We start from the raw sequence: 22161 nt of genomic DNA on the forward strand, positions 1-22161 counted from the left end.
TAGAGCCAGTGGGCTGCAAATCAGAAATAAAGATATAAGAAACTCCCCCTGCACTGATTCCTTGCAAAATCACTCAGACACATCGACACCTAGACACATCCAACCCTTACAAATGCCCAATAAACACATTAAAAAATAACTTTAGTTCCACTATTTAATAAAAAAAGTATTTGCTTATTCAACTGAAAATGATTTATAATAAAAGCAATGATAATGCCAACTGTTAGTGAGGCTCTGAGGGAACTGGGCCCTACATATATTGTTAATGGAAACATAAACCGTAGAACTTTTTCATGTTTGTTCTTCACCTGACTGCTTGTTTTTTTATGAGCTTTATTGATACATAATTCACATACCATGCAATTCACCCATCAAAGTGTACAATTCAGTGATTTAGCAATTTGAGAGCACATAGCAAACCTTAGTATAAGTATATTCTTATTCACTTTCCCAGCATTTCTATCTCTAAGAATTCCCCCTGAGGGGGGAAAAGGACTAGATTTATCCAGATATTTAGCTATAAGAATATTATGAAAATTTATGCATATCTCCAATGCTCAATGACACAGGGATTTGTTAAATTAATTTTGCTCTCATCATATAATTAAAAATCATGAGGCCACTGATGATGTTTTGGAAAAATGCTTAATGACAGATACTTTTTCATGACTTTTTTTTGTTAAAGGAAGATAACGGTTTATAAGACAGCATATGCACCATTTAAAAAATTTACAATACATGCATACATACATATATTACATGTACACATGAGTAGAAGGTGAGGGAGAAGTAGGAAACCAAGAATGGGAAAAGTTCTTATTACACATTAAGTGGTAACAATGATTTTTATTTTCTTTTTGCTTTTAAAACACTTGTATGGTGATTATGCACGGACTTCTGTAATGGTAAAAATAATAACGAAAGATGTTTTAAGAGTTCTCCAGGCTGGACACAGTGGCTTATGTCTGTAATCTCAGCACTTTGGAGGCCAAGGCAGAAGGATCACTTGAACCCAGGAGCTTGAGACCAGCCTGGGCAACATAGTGAGACCCCCATCTCTACAGAACGAGTTTTTAAAAAATTAGCCGGGCATGGTAGTGAAAGCTTGCAGTCCCACCTGCTCCATAGGCCAAGGCGTGAGGATTGCTTAAGCCCAGGAGGTTGAGGCTGCAGTGAGCCATGATTGTGTCACTGCACTCCAGCCTGGTTGACAGAGTGAGACCCTGTCTCAGAAAAAAAAAAAAAAAAAGTTCTCCTCAGGCTAGAGTCCAACCCTTCAGCAAGTGCATCAGACCCTGGCCCCAGCAGCTCCTGCAACTTCAACTAGTGGGTATGGGGCATCTTTGGGGGCCATACATCATTTCTGATACTTCCCTAAATGGGGGCCGTATTTGTGTTTTCACAGCGATCTGCCATTTCATTTGCCTGGAGCGTTCTCCTCTCACTCCCCCACCTGGCTTCCTGACTATTGTCTCATGGGTCGCCTTTCCTGGGATGCCACCCAAGCAGAGGGAACCATTTCCTGCTCCCACTTTACCCTGTGCATGCACTATTTTTGTATCTTGCACGGCAAGTTTACACTTCTCTCTCATGACTCATTGGAGGATTAGGCTGGGTTCTTAATCATCCTTCTTGTTTAATCAGCATCCAACGCAGGCCTGTACAAATGTTTATGGAGTAAACGAGTGAATGAATGAATGAGTCTGTTTGAGCTCTAGGCTCACATGAGCCTTGAGTGCAGAAGATCTGCACTCAAGTGCCCCTTGGGTCCCTAAATCAACATGCCCCAAACTAAGCCCACCGTTTTCTCCTTGTTCCTCATTACCAATCCTCACTGTTTTTGTGCGTGCCCCATCTCTGTGATTGGAACTACACCCTTCCAGTGACGAGCTGGGATCTTGGGTGCCTCTTTTTTCTGCTGTAATAATTCTCCTGGGGCTATCAATTCTGTCACTCACATGACTCCTGTGTTGTTTTCCCTTCTTTCCATGCCCATGCTGCCGACCTCTCTCCCTCACTCTTCCTCTCTCTTAGATATCTGCCACAGCCTCCTCACCCCTATCCTGTTGAAAACTCCCTAGTGACCTCCGTTTTCCCCAGGATACAGTCAGAACTCTTTGTCAAGGTTTACCTGCCCTGTGTGATCCAGCCCTGCTCAGCCCTGACTATCTCTCCAGCTTCGTTTCTCCTCAGCCCCACCCCTTTCATCCTTCTTAGGAGCGACCTGAAGAACTTTCTTCTCTCCGTGCCTCATTCATATTGTTGGTTTTGTCTGGAATCCTTTTTCCAACCCCCTTGCCTCCCTAACTCATTTGTCAAGCCTTACTTTAAAAGACACTTCTTCCAGGAACCCTTCCTTCACTCCCCAAGTCCAGTTAGGCCCCTCGCATATACACCCCCCCTAGCTCCCTACACTTTCCCCAACATAGCTCTCTCACACTGTATTTAATCGTTCACTTAATTGTTCTTCTCCCCCAACAGACTGTAAGAGACAACAGCCGGTGTCAGGGCGGTGAGGTGGGGAAGCAGAAAACACGTCTGCTTGTTCACGAACGTTCTTCCAATGTCCAGCAAAAATTTGGTCCTTAATAAATCCGCTTATCATTCAACAAGCCAACAGATGGAACAATGTTTGCTTGCGCTACTGCAGATGCTAATTCAAACTTTGGGACCAGGCAAGGCATTTGGCTCTTCATTTTATGAAGATCAGAGAGAGGGAGCGCAGTACCCAGTTGACTGACCGAGAGAGAGCTCTGTGGTGGGGGAAGGCTGCTGTGTTGGGCCCTTGTGGGGAGTGTGCTTTCCATCTGATTGCCTTTCCGCATCTGCACAACTAACTTCCCCCATGGGTCACGAGTTTTTCCAAGACTGACAGGAACCTACCCTGAAAAGTAAAGGAAGTTCCCTGCGTGTTTCTTAATGACACCTTCAAAATATTTTCAACATTCCTCAGTTTAAAGGTCCCAGGACTGAAATTTTAGATGGTGTCGAATTCCCCCGTGGAGATGCTGCTGGGCCGGGCCAGACAGCTACCTCTCTCACACCCGCTTAATTAAGTTGGGATACGAAAAAGAGCAGTGGTGTTTGGGTCAGGCAGGCAGTAGTGCAATGTCTCCAAGTAGCTGAGTCAAGTTCAGCGGAATCCAGCTCCCTGGGGAGGCTGGAGGGTAGCTGGGTAGACTGGGTGAGTGTGGTGGATTGGAGTCTTGATCAGCAAACACTCCGGCCCTTCTTCCACCCCTCCGGCCCTTCTCCCTCCCCACTGCTGCTGAGGACTGGGTGTACTTCCGGCCTCACTGACTTTGAGCTTGGCCATGTGACCTGTGTTGGCCAATGGAATGTGAGCAGACAGGGTGTGCGCAGAGGCGTTAAATGCGCTTGCAAGGTTCTTCTCTCTTGTGCTCCTTTCATTCCTGAAGACAGGAGTATACACCAGGTCACCACTGTTCCTTCAGCCTCGTTCTCTGGATATACAGTTTGGATACATTTAGTTTGAGATGGCTACTATAGATCTAAGCAGAGATCCATGTGATTTGGAGTTCAGGGGGTCTGGGCTGGAAATACACATTGGAATCATCTGCAAATATGTGACATTTAAAGCCTTGAGACAGATGAGCTCACCAAGGTGTGAGTGTGGATGGAAAAAGAGTCCAGTCGAGTCTTGGTTTCCTTCAATATTTAGAGGTCAGAGAGATGAGAAGGAATCAGCAAGAAAACAGACACGGAAAAGCCAGAAAGGCAGGCAGACAGCCAGGCCAACCATGGGCCGTGGGAGCCCCATGGACAGAGGGCTCAGAGTTGGAGAGAGCTATCAAATGTGTCCGACACTGCTGATGGGCCCGTGAGATGAAGATGAAGCCCTGACCTGTGAGTTTAGTGACAGGGAAGTCGTAGGTATCCTTGATGAGAATATATTTTGTGGAGTCATAGGGGCAAAAACATCAACCAAGGGATTCGGGAGAGAATAAGAGGAGAGATATTTGCAAGTTAGACAATTCTTACTAAAGCTTGGTTCAGAAATGAAGGAGAGAAATGGGACTCTAGCCCAAGGGGGTGGTGGCATCCAGAGAGATTTTTTATGGGATAAAAAATAGTAAGTTTGAACGCTGACAGGAAGGATCAAAGAGAGAGAAGAAATTGATGATGCAATAGGGATGGGAGAGTGTTAACAGCCAGTTCACCCATTGTACCAAGAATAAGGTCAGGGATACAGCTTGCATGCAGGTAGGTGAGCAGATAGAGTGAGGGAAGCTTGTGGACATTCTCTTTCAGTTACATTGATTTTCTCAATGAAACGGGAACCCAGGTCGTCAGTAAGAGTAAGCAAGTGGCAGGTGAAGAAGAAAGTATGACAGAGTCATCTAGGAGAGTTGGAGAATGAATGGAGCAAGGCGTGCAGCTTAGATGCTGGCTAGCAGTGACTGTTCTGAGCACTTTGTACTGGCTTTTCTACTAAAGCCTCACAACAGCCTATGAAGTAAGCCCTATTATTTGCCCCATCTACAGATAAGAATTGAAGCACAAAGTGGTCAAGAAACTTGTCCATAGTCCCACAGCAGGAAAGCCAGGATTTGACTACCAGTGATCTGTTTCCAGGGCCCAAATGCTTAAGCACTAGGTTAGGCTGACCCAGTTAAACATGAAAGCTTGTCACAGAACTGAACTAAATAGAATAGAATAAAGGTTGAATTAATGTGTGTGGTGCAACCACTCTGTGTCAAGCTCTGCACTAGATTCCTCTGCAAAAACCCTTTGAGTTGTGGTTATTATCAACCCCATTTTACTGATGAGGACATTAAGGTCTGGAAAGATTCAGTTGCTTGTTCAAAAGTTGAAGAGCTAGCAAATGGAAGCCCACACCATGTATACAGCCCACACACCCTGATTCTAAAGCCCACACCCTGTGTACAATGCCAAAGAACCCTTAGGATATGTGAGTGGGTCGACCTAGCTTAAGTTGCTTCATTAAGCCAAATACATCAAAACCCTCCCTACATCAGGCTGAGATCACTTGCAAACTTTATCCTGAGCACCTGGAGAGCTTGCGACATGGTCCTTACAGCAGGAAGAATTTAAAAGAAGATAACTTTGGGGGAATGCTTGTTGTTTTTCTGACCATTTTTGGATGCTTGATCCGTTAGGTGAGGAAGAGGAGAGCTTAGAGTTGAAGTAGATGATGGGAGTTTCGACATTTTCTTCTAATTAAAACTGTAATCTTTTATAACAGAAGCAACCATTCTGGTTTTTCAAGCATTTCCAAAAACCATTTTCTCAAGAAAGAGTGCTCATAATGTATCATCTTCACTGAACAGCCACCCACTTCCTCAAATGCAAGGAAGCAGACAGTTAAAAAAGAAACACACACACACACACACAAAACCAAGAGGCAGCAGTTGTTTATCACGACCTCAACTCAGTAAGGCCTGAGATTCTTTCGAAAAGGAGCTTTGCTTCCCATGACGCAGAGGGAAGTGTCAACTGGGATATTTCTGGTAAAACTGAAAGCAAGAAAAGCAGGGTGCTAGCCCCTGTGGGACTGAGGGTGGAGGCTGGGGGAGTTTGGGTGCCATCCTCCAGTGACAGATGGATGGACCTTTCATCTAAGAGAAAGGAGGAGACACGTTGGCAAATCAGCCTCAAGCCTAAGATTGCTTGTGAAGCAATCATAAGGAGGAACAAAAACAGACACAAAAACAGAGGGAAAGAGTGAAAAGACAAGAAGGGCGCAAACTGTGACAGACTCACCGCTTCACTAACTACTCACTTAAACTGGAAGCAAAATGTCCCTAAAATTGCCAAGGAACTGGGATTTCAACCTGAAAGTGGAGGCTGCGAAAATAGGTATGGTTGGTGTCTTTTCGTTGCCTCTGTGATTCTTACGTATACTCGAGCACCATTTGCATGTTGGTCTGCAGGGAGCATAGTCTACTTAAAAATGGATCTCGCAGCAAATCTGAGTTTGAGGGACCATTTGCATTTAAGTTGGCATGCCAGGTCCAAGTTCTAAAATGCTGGGAGGGGGTTCTCTTTCATTTGGACAAAACAGTGGGATGGCACTCCTTGGTGTGCAGGATCTGGGGTACTTCGGATGATTTAAGGCTACAGACTACACACAAAACTGTGAGTTTTTAGCATATTCCATTTCCTTCCTGTTTGGAAACTCATCCATATTTTGAATGGTTCTGAACAGGAGCACAAAGACTAGAGTCTTTTGAAGTGCTCAATCTGTAAGTAAATTCAATGGGTGTTCTGTTTTGTGAGCCCAGGAGTCAAGGTGTATTAAAAGGTAGTAGCAAAAGGTAGACAACAAAAACAAGACAGGAACATAAAAACGTACTAAAGTATAATAAAGACCTTACTTAATAAAAATATAATTAAAGGAACAGAATGGGAGGGAATTCTTAGATGAGTTGGAAAAGAGATGTATTTTTTATTATTTTAAGGGAGACTGGCATATTTTCTGAGATAGTCTGGCCTTTAATCCATACCCTGTCCTTCTAATGATGATAGTGATACATTAAGTTTAATCTATATATTCGTTATGAAGTTCTTTACATAGATTTCTTCTATTGCTAAATTGGTCACAGTAATTCACATCAGAGCAATCGGGCTGAAAACTATTGCCTACATTTATGTATCTCACCCATACATGAGATAACTTCCTTGATATTAGATATAGATAAGTATTAAGGTGTTTCTAACAGCTTGGAGGAATTTTGCTTGGAAAAAGGTTTAGATTTGAACCTCTAATGGGGTTAAGTGTGCTACTAAAATAAGTGCTCCATTGAAAAGTCACAAGCGGAGCATTAATGATGTAGGTCTGAGAAAGGGTTTGAAAGAAAACAGAGTAATCAGAGAAGCCATTTATCTTGATAACTAGGGGAGATTAGCGTTCCCTAATCAAGCTGTGAATGATTGTATGCTGAGGTCAGTTCAGAGAAAAGGTAATGTTCATACCTCTTACAAAAGCAAGAGATTTTCCTCCTAACTATCATTGATACAAATGTACTTGGCTAATGCTCAATCTATGTCATACAAATTATATGGTTCTGTTCCTTTGAAAGTGTCCTGCTTCTACATAAATAAGGTCATTCTGCCTTCTCTCCACCTATGTTTGAACACAGGTTATTAGGGTCTTACTCTCCTTTGGTTTAAAAAACAAGAAAGTTGAGACAATTAATAGTTAAATGATTTTTTTCACAGATATAGGAAATTACCACACTAGAGCTCAAGACTGCATATACTCAGGTCTGGGATTTGATTGAGTGAATTTCATGATTTTTACCAATGTTTCTTAAAGCATGGTCCCATAGATAACCTATATCAGACTCACATCAAGTGCTGGCTAAAAATGCAGATTTCTGGGCACCATCCTTACAAAATCAGAATCTCTGGAGGAAGGCCCAGGATCCTGCATTTTGACAAGCACCCCCCACTTTCATCCTCACCTGAGGAAGAATTCCTGCTGTAGGTACTGTGGTCTATGTTCACTAGCCCCAGCAGACAGTTTTCACCCATTTAGTATAGGGCACAGTGCTTGTTCTTAACTGGGCACACAATAAATATTTGTTGGCTGAATGAATGCTTCAGCCAACAAAAACAAGCAGATGATGTTATTTAGTATTACTTAATGAAAAAATAATAATAAGGACATAATGAAATACAGAGGAGCCCTTGTCATTATCCATGCTATCTATAAGTTTGTCACCCTGAAGGACTGGACTACAGTAGGATGCATTTATAAGTGTCACATGAACTAGAATTCAGATCATAATCTGAGTCCTCTGATGGGGGAGAGCCCTTGACTCAGTCACAGGACTTCCAGTCCCCTCTCCAGCATCCTGTGTCCAGGTGTAACTGTAGGAACTGGCTTACCAATATATCAAAGAAACTTACCTCTATTGGGAAGACCTGTGGAACTGGGAGTTATGTCAGGAAAGCTGACAATCTGTGGTTTTAACGTTTTCTCAACCTAGATACCATTGACATTTGGGGTTGGATAGTTTTTTGTTGTGGGGCCTGTCCTGTGAATTATAGGATGTTTAGCAGAATCCTTGGCCTCTACCTTCTAGGTGATGGTAACACCCCCCTACCACTACCAGTTGTGACAAATAAAACTGTCTTTACATATAGCCAAGTGTTCCTTGGGGATGGGGGTGAGGGTAATATCTTCTCTAATTGAGAACTCCTGGAGTAGATGATCACCAAAAGGGTGGAATATAAGGTCATTTGGGACTAGAACCCAAATATTAACTCATGATTCACTCTGTAGCTCAATTTTTTGGAGGCTTTTATTGAGATCTGTCCTCAGGGAGCCAGGCCATAGCTTAGGAAGGACACTAGAATGGGCCCTTGGTGAAATAGCAAGACACTGACCCAGAATGTGACCCAGGAAAGGGGCCCTAGCTTTTTTTGATGAGCTATGCTTCCAGTTTCCCCAGAATCTTGTGAGCTGGAGTGAAAGTGAAAGTCTCTGAGAGCGAGGGGAGGGACTCTCCACTGTACTTCCATCTCAGAGCTGAAGAGGGTCTTGCTGGATGGCAGACTCACCTGAGTCCACTACCATGAGTCTGACAGATTTTCATGCAGTGATGAAGAAAAGTCACAGAACTTCCTGAATCTGACCTATTGATCCTGGCAGGAATAGGGGTTGGAAGAAAAAGGAAAATGCAGAACAAACAGTCTTGACTTGAGGTGGAGCCAAGAGCACACACTTCTTCCTGTGATCCTTTATCATTTTCAATTTTAGAATCATGACAGCCTTTCACTGCCTTCACGCAGTTACTCAAATATTTTGCCTTTTTAACTGAATTGTCATCACTGGAGGACAGGTCCAGACTTTCTGGACCTCCAGCCCCAGGTTACAGGGCTTTCTTGAAAGAGTTACATGGCTTCCCAATGACCAGGCCAGTCTACTTGAGCACATTTTGTACCTTATTTGAACACTGAAATGCTGGTTCCCCAGTTTCAGGAGAATCCTGAAACTATATAGCCCATGGTGAACTGATTTGTGTTTGTTTGATGTTCAGCTTTCTGAACATCAGAAAGTGGTGAGTGCTTTCTTTACAATTCATTACCAAACTTACTATATGCTAACCAGACCAGCCTGGGTTATGGACTGAATGTGGTCTGTTTGCTGTGCCCAAAGTATTTGCTTTCCATGAGTAGCCTCCGGTCCCTGATAGATAAAGGTCCCCGATAGATAAAGGTCCCCACACATGCAAGTAGAGTCACTGCTAAAAATACAAAAAATTAGCTGGGCATGGTGGCGGGCACCTGTAATCCCAGCTACTTGGGAGGCTGAGGCAGGATAATTGCTTGAATCCGGGAGGCGGAGGTTGTAGTGAGCCACGATCATGCCACTGCACTCCAGCTTGGGCGACAGAGCAAGACTCTGTCTCAAGAAAAAAAAAAAAAAAAGAATATGAACATGGCCTTCTGTAGACAGTGAACAGCTACACAAGGGAGCTGTTCCTTCCAGGGCCCACTCTATTTTTATGCAGAGGTTACATTGCCATTGGTTATTTAAGTAAAAATGTCTGTCCGTAATGTTGCTGTTGACTTAACATTTAGGCATAAATTAAATTCTCTCCACGAAGTGCATGCTTCCTGTTGCCCAGGCCAACAGCCTTCTGGCCATTTGAGGAAAAAGGACTGATGTCACCTCTGGGCCTTCTGCAGCAGCAGCAGAGTGGGGACCAACCTAAGTGGTGATGGGAAAACAGGACCTGGTTTTATATCCACTCATGCACAAAATTCCCCCTGTACATGCCAGATGAGGTCAGCTTAGATTCTGTACTTTGTCTGAGACTGTGCACTTGGATTGGCAGAGGCTAGCTTGATGGTTCTTATTGCCTATGTGTCTGAAACTAGGCCAGGGTTAAGATGCCCAATGGCCCTGGCGTGGGTATACATCACTATAAGTCACTTCATTAATGGTAGTGCTGCCATCTCCCTGTCTCTCACCTCACAGTTATGAAGCATCTTCATGTAGCATCCAATGGGAGAACTCTGTGGAGACTCCACCAGCTGGAATGTGATCCTTTTGAGTAAGGCCCACTATGGGGGTGTTGGAAAGATGCTGGGACCAATTGAGAGAAGTAAGTTGATGAAAATGGTCCTATCACACACAAGGCAGCTTGAGGAAAGAATCTGGCATGAAGGTGCACCCCAGTCGAGTGGTCTGAACTTGTGTTAAGATACAAGACATGGGAGGGAGTGAAGAGCAGAAGCAAAGTCCCACTGGTGGCCACAGCAATTGAGACCAAATAGTACCGGAAGAGCATGACGGAGAGCCACAGCGAGGCACAGGCAGATTGTGGGGATTCTGTCACAGAGGATGGCATGGAAATTTTGTAGAGTCCCCAGACAGGAACTGAGATACAAAAGTTACAAAGAGAGAAAATAATTGACATTTTTTGTGTTATGCTTTACTCATCATCCTTTTTCTCTTTGAAAGCTTGTTTAAAAACCAAAAGTCACTTTGCAAAGAAAAAAAAAATGATACCCATAGGTCTGGCAGACCTAGAATATAACTTTGTCTTCTTTGAGGGACTGCAGTGCTTCCTCATTTCTAGTAAGACAGGAGTGCAACTTACTGTGTTCTCTTTGTCTTGGCTGCCAGGAAGCTGAGCTAAATATGAAATATGAAGACAGTCCTGTAGGGCATACAGTTCAGTGGGGGCAGAGACAAGGAAACAACTGCAAAGCGGTGAGACAGGTGCTGTGATGATGAGAACAGCTATGGGAGTCCCAGATGGTGCCTAAGAGGAATTCTGGCCCCACCACCCCTGTTCCCATCACTGCCATTCACCTTCTTTAAGATCTAGGTGCAGATGTTCTTGAGGGGGCCCCAGACTCGCTGTCTTTCTCACAGTGATTTTCCTGCACATTGTATCTACTTTTTTGGAGAAACAGAAGGCTTTATACTATGTATAGACCCTCTGCATGAAGGAATTAAATGGAAAGTCTTTATGATCTGGCCCTTCTTACCTGCCCACCTCTCTCTTGCCACCTTCCCTTCTCCTGCTGCACACTGGAGACTTCAGCCACATCCTCCCTTCTGTAGCTTCCAGCTCTTTCTCATCTGCCTGGAGCCCTCTCTCCATCTGGGTCTCCCTTACCACCACCAGTTCCTACCCATGCTTTGGTCACAATGTAAACATCTTGTCCACGGGGAGTCTCTAGGTCTTCTGATCACTGGAGAGAGAGTATAAAAATCCTTTCCCAGGCCATTTAAACAGAGAAGTTTACAGCTCTCAATACTATGGACTTCCTTTTAGATAAGAGCCATGAACATTTCTGAACATGCATATATGAGTCAACCCCACAAGTAACTGATCCTTTGGCTTTTGAACAAAATGAGTTGTTCTTAATACGGTATGTAACACCAGCACTCTAGGCCCTCACTGGGGAGAATAACCTCAGATTGCCCAAAGAAAGGGGCTAAATTGTCCATTGACTCTTCTTGATAAAAATTGTGAAAGAAAGGAGGACGTGTGATATAGGAAAGTGTGCATGAGCTTGGGACTCTGCTTTAAGCAGTAGTGAATCTGGGGCAAGTTGCTTAGCTTCTACAAATGAGAGAGTAACACATATGCTGAGAGGAAGAAAATATTTCATGCGTATGACATATATTAGGTGCTCAGCAAACATCTCTTTCCTTTCTTTATAGGCAGTCTCATTTCCAACCTCAGATCAGACTAGAAGCTGTACTTGGATTACATTATCTTGCTACCCTCGCAGAATAGGGCTCACTGAGTTGTCTTTTAATGTTATATCTTCAGTTTATAGCTTCCCTGCAAGTAATGATTTCATGAAATCTGCTCCTAATTGTACTGGAAAAATGAGAATGAAGAATGGAGAACGCCAGCAACTTCTATGTATAACTCTATGTGAGAAAGTTGCTTGGGAATTCAGTGCTCAGAAAATAACTTTGTCTTCTTTGAGGGACTGCAGTGCTTCCTCCTTTCTAGTAAGACAGGAGTGCAACTTACTGTGTTCTCCTCTTTGTCTTGGCTGCCAGGAAGCAGAGCTAAATTTGAAGCTGAGTCACAACTTCTAACGCCCATTTGATTAGCATACTTTTAGTCTTTGTCTTTGATCAGAGTTTATGTGTTCATTGCAAATAATTTCCATACTTTAAAAAATGTTATTATTTAAAAATATAGATGGGGGAGTCTCACTATGTTGCCCAGGCTGGTCTCGAACTCCTGGGCCCAAGCAGTCCTCCTGCCTCAGTCTCCCAAAGTGCTGGGATTATATGCATGAGCCACCACACTCAGCTTCAGATTTCCTACTTTTTAGTAGTGACTGAGCATTGCAATTTATCTAAGAAAGGTTCAAGGAATATTAAAATGTTGAAAGTTATTTCTTTTAGTTCATAAAGTAAAACGCAATTCCATGACCACTCATATTCTTTACCTAGAGTTACATAAAATTATGCAATCTTCAGTACATTCAGACCAGTCATTTCATTTCATGCACTCATTGAGTCACTCATCATAAAACATGTATTTGCTCACTTGTATGTGAGAGGTACTTAAGCAGCATTGCCCTGCTGTGCCTCTCATGCTGCAAGCACCCCTCACCACCCCTCCACCTTTCTAAAAGTGATGCTCAACTTTGCTACTACCATCTATTCTCCTTAAGCTGTGACTGACTAAGGTGACAGCTGCCGCACTGTCTCCTTTCCACGCCGTACTATCCATCCACCCCCAAAATATGCACACATGGATCTCAGCTCTGGATGGGGCTGCGATACCCCACTGCTGGAATTTTGGCCTATGGTGGCTGAACCATTTGCTTCCTTGTTGGTTTGGAGTTTCAAAGTGAAAGAGGAAGCAGTAAGATATAGAGTTCCTGAGTGTGATGTGAATACTTTTTAATATTTTAAAATAATTTTATAAAGTTGACAAAAAGAATTTTCTGACAAAGTGTAAACTAACCATAATGGAATGAGCCAGCTATCATACAGTGGTTAAAAAGCTGGCTTTGGGGCCAGAATGCCTGAATTTGAATCCCAGTATCATCGATCGGTCACTGTGTGACGTTGGACCTCAGGTTTTCCAACTGTAAAATGAGTGCAATCCTAGTGCTAACTCATGCAGTTATTGTGAGGGTAAGAGAAGATGATCTATGTCAAACTTTAGCATAAGAGCTGGTGTCTAGTAAGTGCTTCATAAACACTAGTAATTATCATTATTGTTATGGACATTAGCTATAATGGAGATCTGATATCAGCTCCTTTGAATCAAGTCATTGGTGAAAACCACAGCCAGCAGTGCCAAGGTTTTGTTTGTCTTGATTAGGTTTAGTTCTTCATTCTTTTCTTTAGACATATGGTCTTTACAACATCTGCAGATATCTCCTTTCCTGCCCAGTGTCTGCTCCTGGCTCACAGCACACATGCTGATCTGCAGTTGACTGGTTATGTTCTGCTTCTTACTCTTTATGCTTCCAAATGCCATGTACTCACTTCCTTCTCAATTTGCATGAATTGTGTCAATTTTGTCTGCATGGCTATTCTTGTTTTCTTCCTTTTTGCTTTGTTTTGTTTGTCTATTTTTGCCAGTTATTTTCCAAATAAGTAAAATGCCTGAGTTGTGACTTTCTAATAAGGATAATGATAGCTTCTGGTAAGTTTCCTGCAGAATTCCTGCTGTAGAAATGTCATTGTCTCTGTGCTATGACAGGAGCAGTTCCTCAAACTTTCCTTGCTTTGGGTAGGCAAAGAGTGACTCTGGGTTGTTTGCTGTGTGGAAGACCCTCCTCCATGACTTAGTGCTTCCTCCTCCAGAGCTGCCCACCATCTCCTACTGTCATGCGTACCTCTGGCCACTGAAGTGAGGTTGGAAGTTGTTAGTGTGGGCTTCAGGGGCTCAGTGTTTAACTGCTTGTGATCACTTACATGTGGGTTACAGCAATGGCAGAGCAGTTTTTCCTATTAGCTCTAAGAGTCCTGTACCTGGCCTACCATTCTCTTTCAGATCATTATTTGTAGATATAATTGTGGGGGAAGAGCAGGACCTTCAAAATGAGGCTCCCGCCTTTCTTGTCCTCAATTCTGCTGTTGCTACCCAAAGATTCTTGTGCATGCATTCTTCCTCTTTGACTGTCATTCTGCATTTGATTCCATGCACCTGGTCATTCAGAAGCCAGAAATCCACTTTATTAGTGAGTGAGGAATCTCCTTATGCAGACATCTCAGAGTAAAAATGATAGCAGATGTAGAGTTGTCACCTCCAGTCCATTCTCAGCCCAGCCCTTGTGCTCTGTCCTGAGACCAATCTGTTTGATCTTGATTTTGGCACTGATCTTCTTCCTGTGAGCGTTCCTCATTCTCTTTCCCAGGTAGAGTGACAGCTGGCCTGATTTGTCTGGGACTCAGGGGGCTCGTGGGACATGGAACTCAGTGTGAAAACCAGGAAAGTAACCCTAGAATCAGGTCGCTAGGCCCAGGGAAACAAAGCTGTAATTGTGTTAGGTGCTTTGTATGTTTCTTGAATTGAATTTCCTGAGAAGCCACACAATTTATGGCAAAAATTGATTTAGGAGAAAATATCTTTAAACCTGGAGTCATTATTCTTTCTTTTTAGTACTCATGGTTAGAAATCCTTCCAAATTCATTTTTCAGCCTCCTTGAAACTGTCATGCTAGCTTCCTCCATCTGTTTTTATGAAATCTTTTAGTCTTGCTCACATTTTCTCCAGAAAGATCGGGAGCCACATCTGTCAGTGTATTGCAAGGTACTTCTTTCTAAAATCACACAAAAATTCCTACCCTTGTGGGTCCTATATCTGGCCCGTAAGTTTGCTATTCTGCTTTCTGGATATATATATATTTTTTCCAACTCTATCTCTCCCTCCCCATTACCAGGGCCACCACCCAGCTTGTCCTGGGAAGGCTTCCTGAATTACCCAGGTACAATTAGTCCCTCTCCCTTCTGCGAGATTGTACCGTTTTGCTCATTTTTCTTCTATTCTGATTGACACATATTTATTGGACACCTACTATGTGCTGGACACTTTACTAGGCTCAGAATTAAGAAGATGAAAAAGATTAAGATTCTGACAGTCTCATTAGAGACACTCTGAGGAAGCAGGGCTCTCCCACTAAAGGGAATTAGACATATGCAGTGTGACTGTGACTGTGACATTTAAAAAGCTGACACAGGGTTTGTTCTGTAACAAAAGCTTTTCTTGCCCCACTTGAGCCATAGCCCCTAGATATCTACAAGGGGCAAGTTTTTACATGTTCATTCAAGTCTATATGCTCCTTCCAAAAAGCCACAAATCAAGCTTCTAATGCCACATTGTTATTCTGATTTAGAGCCAGTAGAGAGTGCCCGCGGACAATGCAGTTGCATTTCCACCAATAAATGTGGTCTATTTTCATTATTTCTCCCCAGAAAACCCTGGATTTAACCAGTTTTCTGGCCAGCACAAAATTATCCCAATCTCATTCTTCTGTGGCCTGAAATGCCCAGCATGGTAATGAAAGTGATTGATAATGTAGTCAACTTTGTGTCTTCACAGATAAAAAATAAGATTCCAGATAAAAATCACTTCCTGAAAGAAAAACAAAAAAGGACACTTGACTTAACTACGAAGACATACCTGAATGTAGTAGGCAGTCTTTGAGAATGAGGCCCCTAAAGGCAGATGAGCCTGGGTTTGATTTCCAGCTCAACCTTTTCTCACTTCTTTGACTTTGGGCAAGTCACTTTAATGTCTCTGTGTCTCAGTTTTCTCATCTGAAAAATGGGGCCGGTAGTTCCACCTCCTTTGCAGAGCTGTTAGGTAATACTTCCTCCAACCAGCTCAGCCACTCATAGTCATAAATAAACCATGTCACCTCCTACAATTGTACCACCTCTGAAATCTCACTTTCAGACTTCCCACTCTGTGCCCACCACATCCTATGTGCCCAGCTCACCCACTCCAGCAATTCTCTGACATTACCTCAGTGAGCCACCATTCCATTGGTCCCACCATTTTTTCACTATCAGTCACCCCATTAGGTCCTCCTTACCATAGATTCATAACTAGCATTAAATCTACTACTGAATATGCACCCTTAAATTCTCTGGCCATTTTTCCTCATCATAACCCCTAACCCTATTTAAACCTAATAATCCACCTTCTTAGTGCCTGTAACTGGACAGCTGAACATCGCTGGAGAAGATCACCCCTGAGCTGCCTGGATTCACTTTGAGTTTGTGACCAGTCATTTGAGGTGGGCACTCAACAGAGCCAGACAAACTTACTACGTCTACTGTCTTAAGAGTCCACTAGTGCTGCTGTAACTAAATAGCTGAGACTGGATAATTTATACAGAACAGACATTTATTTATTACAGTTCTGGAGGCTGGCAAGTCCAAGATCAAGGTGCTTTCAAGATCCATGTCTGGTGAAGGCTCATTCTTTGTAGATGATGCTGACTTGGTGGTCTCACACGGCAGAAAGGGATGGGAGGGCAAAAGGGAGGAGTGCCGTGACCTCACATTATGGAAGAGCAGAAGAGGGTGAACCCACTCCTTCAAGCCCTTTTACGAGGATCTTAATACCATCCATCAGAGCAGAGCTGTCATGACCTAATCACCTCCCAAGGGCCATACCTCTTAATACTGTTGCATTGGAGATGAAGTTTCAACATGAATTTTGGAGGGGGCACCATCATTTAAACTATAGCACATAGCTAGTAAATTCACTTTCATTTTCCCCAAAGCTTTTATGCCTACTTTTTAATTTTCTCCTCAAGGTCTTAACACTTCCTTCTGCCGTCACTCTCACTGATAACATTCATAGAGAAAAATATGTACAACTAAGTGAGAATTACTCAATTTTCCTACCACCAAAAGTTTTCGTCTACCCACATCTTTATCTCCATTGCTGCCCATAGGCCTGGACAACAGGGGCCTCCATTGGAAACATGTATTTTAGAGGGTCCTGCTCTTTTCTTGCTCCATCTGTACTCCTTCCTCCTCACAGGGCAAGGAGTCTGGTCAAGCGGACATGCCCACCTAGACCCTGTGCCCTGCCTGCCTTCTAGACCATCTGAGATTGTGAAATTCCCTACGCAGATGGCCAGGAGCTGCAAGAATGTTTTCTAGGTCCTCCCAGTGGTTTTTCTGCAGACGGTTGATTGCAGAGAGGCCCAGAACAAAGTTCGGATGTCTGGGCTGGGGTGTCCACATTCATGTGTGTAAGGCCCCTGACTGTGAAAAATGGAAATGGAGATGGAGGGAGAAGGGGCATGGGCATGGGTTTAAAGACAGGGACCACCCCCCTCCCCATCCCCACAGGGCCGGGCGCGGTGGCTCACGCTTGTAATCCCAGTACTTTGGGAGGCCGAGGCAGGAGGATCACCTGAGGTTGGGCGTTCGAGACCAGACTGACCAACATGGAGAAACCCCATCTCTACTAAAAATACAAAAAATTAGCTGGGTGTAGTGACGCACGCCTGTAATCCCACCTACTCGGGAGGCTGAGGCAGGAGAATCGCTTGAACCCGGGAGGCAGAGGTTGTGGTGAGCCGAGATTGGGCCACTGTACTCCAGCCCAGGCAACAAGAGCGAAACTCCATCTCAAAAAAAAAAAAAAAAAAAAGACAGGTGTCCCCATGTATCTTCTTGACACAGGCTTTCAAATATAAGTGATAGACTGATTCCTTCTCACTCATCAGTCAGCCCAATTAAGCATCTGTCCTCGTCTTACTCAACTGTCCTGCAGCATTTGACACAATCAGGCATTTTCTCCTTGAAAAAAAATTTTTTAGACTTCCTTGACACTGTGCCCCCTGGCTTTCCCTTACCTCATTAGTTACTCTTCCTGAGTCTGCTTTCATGAAGTCTCCTTCTCTACCAGATCTCTTAACAATGAAGTGTCCCAAGCAGGACTGGCCACATCATTCGTGGAGCCTAGTACAAAATGAAAATGTGGGGTCCCTTGATCAAAAATTATTAAGAATTTCAACATAGTGACAGCAAAGCATTACACCAAGTGCAGGGACCATCTAAGCATGGAGTGCTGTATGAGTGTACAGGTTTTCTGTGAAGCTGGCTCCGGTCCCAGGGCTCAGTCCCCCGTCCTCTTCCGTTTATCCAACCTTAAAACCTTTAAAGCCCTTTCCATGGCTTTAAGTCCTACCTTAACTTTCATACATTAGCTCCAACGTCTCTTCTGGGTTCTGGATGGCCCCACATCTCCACCTGAATATCTCACGGGCTTCCCTCCCCCAGTGTGTCCAACACAGAATTCTGAATCATCCCTCTTCCCACCCCTCCACACCCAGTTCACCTGCCCTTTGCAAAAGGCTCTACTATTCACCGAGTTGCTCAGGCTAAAAACCTAGAGTCATCTTCATTCATGTTTTCCCCTTCCACTCCAGATCTAATCCACCAGAAAAGACTTTTGGATTCACCACCAATTTATGTCCTTAATCTGACTATTTCCGTTATCTCCAATGCTGTAAACACTGCCATTTCTTGCCTAGTCTAGGAAATAGTTAGCTGACTTGGCTTCCTGCCTCCACTCTTGTCCTGGACCATGTATTTTCTGCACAGTGGCCAGACTCGACATCTTTTAAAAGTGGAAATCAAATGTGTCAGTTCCTCATTAAAATTTTCAGTATACTTAGGATTAAATTCAAACTCATGATCTATGCCCGTGGGATCAGGCCCCTTCCCCTCTGTCTCCACCCACCTGTAGTCCTCTGCTCCTCCCACACTGTGTCCCAGCCACACCCTCCTTCTATTAACAGTTTTCTGAACATCCAGTGCTCATAGCCACCATCTCAAGGCCTGTCTGCTGTTCTCCCTGAAATGTGCTTCCCAGATCTTACCATGGCCTTTCCTCCACTCCATCCAGTTTTAGTTCAAATATTATCTCTTCAAAGAGGTCTTTCCTGACCCTAGCATATAATTAGCTGTAATTAGCCCCTGCAAATCCAATCTCTCTTTATCCCATTATCTTACATTTTTTCTTTATACTGTTATTTGTGCCTGAAACGATCTCATTCCTTTGCATGTTTGCACTAGATCATAAGCTTCTGAAGGCAGGGCTTTGCCTGTTTCATGCACTTTTAGATAGTCACTGCCAAGAACAGTTTCTGTCACATTACAGGTATCAAAGAGATTTTTGTGGAATAGCCTGTGGCCTGTTAACTTTTCTGCAGCCCAGTGAAATTAAGTAAGTTAAAATGAGTCCAAAGCATTTTTTTTTCCTGTCCTTATTAGTGATTGAACAACAGTTTGGTCCAGAGAGAGATATTTCTGACTTTCTTATGGAGAGGGAAGTGGGGCTTTTGGTTTCTGAAGCTAATTTGGAACAGCATGTGGGTGACTGAGCATTTAGCTATCCCTGAGGGCGGTCAGGTCTTAAGTCATTAAGGCTTAGACTACTGAACAGAGCTACAAGGGGTATGTCTTGCTCCTATAATCAAAGTCTTCTTGATGATTGAAACTCAAGTGTGGGCAGAGAAATCCTTCAGACTCAGGGGCCCTGGGAAAAGTAGCTCTGCTCAGGAATCCAAACATGAGAATTAAACCTCAGTTTTGTAGTATGGGCAGTTAGGTTTAGTGGGTAACTGTGATTAGAGGCGAGGATGGGCAAGGGAGAGGAAGAAAGAAAGACAGAGAAGCTTAGAGAGAGAGGGAGAGAGATACCAGCATACAGGGGTGAGGGAGAGGCAGATGGAAGGAAGAAGGAGGAAGAACAAGTGGAGGATGGATGTGGGTGGAAGAGAGGACCAATTACATTGGGCCCTATGCTTAGAAGGGTTCCACACTGAATTTGTTATTTTGTTGTGACCATCCTAAAATTCTTAATGATTTTTGAACAAGGGGCTCTACATTTTCATTTTGCACTGGGCTCTGCAAATTATGTAACTGACTGACATTCTGCCACCTTGTATCACAGGAACTAGGTCATCTTTGAGCCATCCCTTGGCCTCATGACCTCCTCCTTCCCCAACTGACTGCACCGTCAGTCCTGTCCACCTCCTACCTAGATCTCACATTCATCCACTTCTCTTACCTCCCTTTCAAGCCTAGATTCCACTGTAAGCCTCTTAACCATTTCCCGTCTTGCAGTTTTCATGGCCTTTAATTTATTCTCTGTGAGCACCCCAGTGCTTGCGAGTGTCGATAGCTTTGTCGATCAGAGCAGTCACCCTGAGGCTAAAGGGAATCATGCAAAGGCAGCCTCAGTGCTTGAGCTGAACATTCTCAACTCCTGCACTAAGTTAGTGGTTACCAAACGTGGCTGTCCTGGGGAGGTTTAAAAAAATTCACCTGCTCAGGTTCCACTCCAGAGACATGGATTTAAGTAACAAGGGCTGTGGTCTAGGTATTCGAACTTTTCTAAGCTCCCAAGTGACTGGATATGCAGCAAAGTTTGTGATCTGTGCCATAAGTGTTGCTAAGACCCAGAGCCACAGCACAATGGCAACACATTCCCAAAATGTTTGCAATTTTGTTACTTTATCATAGTGGTTTTGAGTTTTGCAAAATTTTCTTCTCTAAAAATATACATTAAAACATTATTTAATATTCCAGAGTACAGCTTTGAGTAACCTGGCCCTTTTTTAAATTTTATTTTTTAAAGAGACAGGGTCTTGCTCTGTCGCCCAGTCTGGAGTACAGCTGTGTGATCACAGCTCACTGCAGCCTCAACATCCTGGGCTCAAACAATCCTCCCACCCCAGCCTCCCAAGTAGCTGGGACCACAGGCGTGCACCGCCATGCCCGGCTGATTTTTTTTTTTTTCTTTTTGTAGAGATGAGGTCTTGCTCTATTGCCCAGCTGGTCTTGGACTCCTGGCCCCAAGTGATTCTCCCACCTTGGCCTCCCCAAGTGGTGGGATGACAGACATGAGCCACTGCGCCCAGCCCCATGAAGCCACTTTTTTTTTTTTTTTTTGAGATAGAGTTTTATTCTTGTCACCCAGGCTGGAGTGCAATGACATGATCTTGGCTCACTGCAACCTCTGCCTCCCTAGTTCAAGCGATTCTCCTGCTTCAGCCTCCCAAGTAGCTGGGACTACAGGCACCTGTCACCATGCTCGGCGTATTTGTATTTTTAGTAGAGACTGGGTTTTGCTATGTCGGCCAGGCTGCTCTCAAACTCCTGACCTCAGGTGATCCTCCCGCCTCGGCCTCCCAAAGTGCTGGGATTGCAGGCACGAGCCACCGCACCGGGCCGAGCACTTTTTAATTTTTGGAAAATGTGTACCTCCACTGTGAGAGGCGTCTGTGTGTGTGTGTTGTGGTTTGAGTGCCCTGAATTAGTTAAAGGCATTCCTTCTTCTCTGAGGTTCCCTGCAGACCGGACTGTCTGTGATTCTGCAGATGTCAGGGCTGCACAGAAGAGGGTGGAGGCCGGGCCGGCCCCAGATCCTGCTCACACAGGGAATTAGTGTCAGAAGTGACGTGTTAAGGGGTTACTGAAACCAAAGGTGAAAGCTTTTTGCTTATAATGTGAGTAGTGAGGAGGAGGCACTAATAATAGTTATTAATGCCACTTGTCAACAGACCCCTGGAAAATAGGACAATACATCCTTTCTCTCCCAGCAAGTCCAGCTGACATTTATTTCACCCGCTTTAAGCACGAATTACCTGTGGAGTATCCTAGAAGGACTTGTTTTTGGAATAACATTGCAGACTCCAAAAATTGTCTACCATTTCTGACTCTTTCAATGTCTTTCACTTGTACACAGTGTCTCATTCCATCCTAAGAGGGGTTAAAGGATGCTCATCCTCACGCTGAGCCCAGGGAGGGTGCAGGACTTGCTCACTCACCCAGCCAATGGGGGGTGCTGGCCTAATCCCAGGCAGTATTCTGACTCCCAACCCAAACCTATTGTTGGTCCACTAGAGACTTTGGATAGAAACCAGAGGAGAATAGGAAGGGCCAGGAAAAACTCAGGCATGTAAAACAAGGAACCAATTTTAAGGGTGGAAAGCTAAGGTGGAGATACATAGCATGTATAAATACAACTAAAGAGCCACGGGCATTTGGCACATTTTAGAGGACAGTTAAGACTCTTACTATCCTCCAGTTAGCAGTAGATTTCCTCCTATTCGCACACCTGCCATTGCCATTTTCCCTTTCTGTTCCAAACGACTTCAGAATGGCTTACAATTACACCCAGCTAACATCTG

General features: G+C 43.9%; 1 protein-coding gene across 6 annotated transcripts in view, besides 2 other annotated features; it reads left to right on the top strand.

Annotated features, from left to right (window-relative positions):
- The window catches only part of ARHGAP25 (Rho GTPase activating protein 25), a 116290-nt gene that overhangs the window by 18876 nt on the left and 75253 nt on the right, over positions 1-22161 (top strand). For 4 of the 6 annotated variants that reach the window (NM_001007231.3, NM_001364819.1, NM_001364820.1 and 1 more), the window contains exon 1: positions 5392-5841. The exons of 1 other annotated variant lie outside the window; for it this stretch is intronic. In NM_001007231.3, the coding sequence (NP_001007232.2) occupies positions 5781-5841 (61 nt within the window). In that variant the 5' untranslated portion in view covers positions 5392-5780. Of the gene's footprint in view, positions 1-5391; positions 5842-5957; positions 6121-22161 lie in introns of those variants that run through there. One more of the 6 variants, NM_001364821.1, reaches the window with a different exon arrangement.
- Positions 10157-10386: an enhancer, noted in NCBI's record as "active region_15959". NCBI's record gives its function as "activates an Ori minimal core promoter by ATAC-STARR-seq in GM12878 lymphoblastoid cells {active_cell/tissue: GM12878}" and the evidence as "EXISTENCE:reporter gene assay evidence [ECO:0000049][PMID:35858748]".
- Positions 15094-15595: an enhancer, noted in NCBI's record as "NANOG hESC enhancer chr2:68971645-68972146 (GRCh37/hg19 assembly coordinates)". NCBI's record gives its function as "activates a minimal SCP1, AML or CMV promoter by ChIP-STARR-seq in naive H9 embryonic stem cells {active_cell/tissue: H9 hESC(naive)}" and the evidence as "EXISTENCE:reporter gene assay evidence [ECO:0000049][PMID:30033119]".

The sequence above is a fragment of the Homo sapiens genome, chromosome 2 (genome assembly GCF_000001405.40).
Source record: "Homo sapiens chromosome 2, GRCh38.p14 Primary Assembly".
Lineage (NCBI taxonomy): Eukaryota > Metazoa > Chordata > Mammalia > Primates > Hominidae > Homo > Homo sapiens.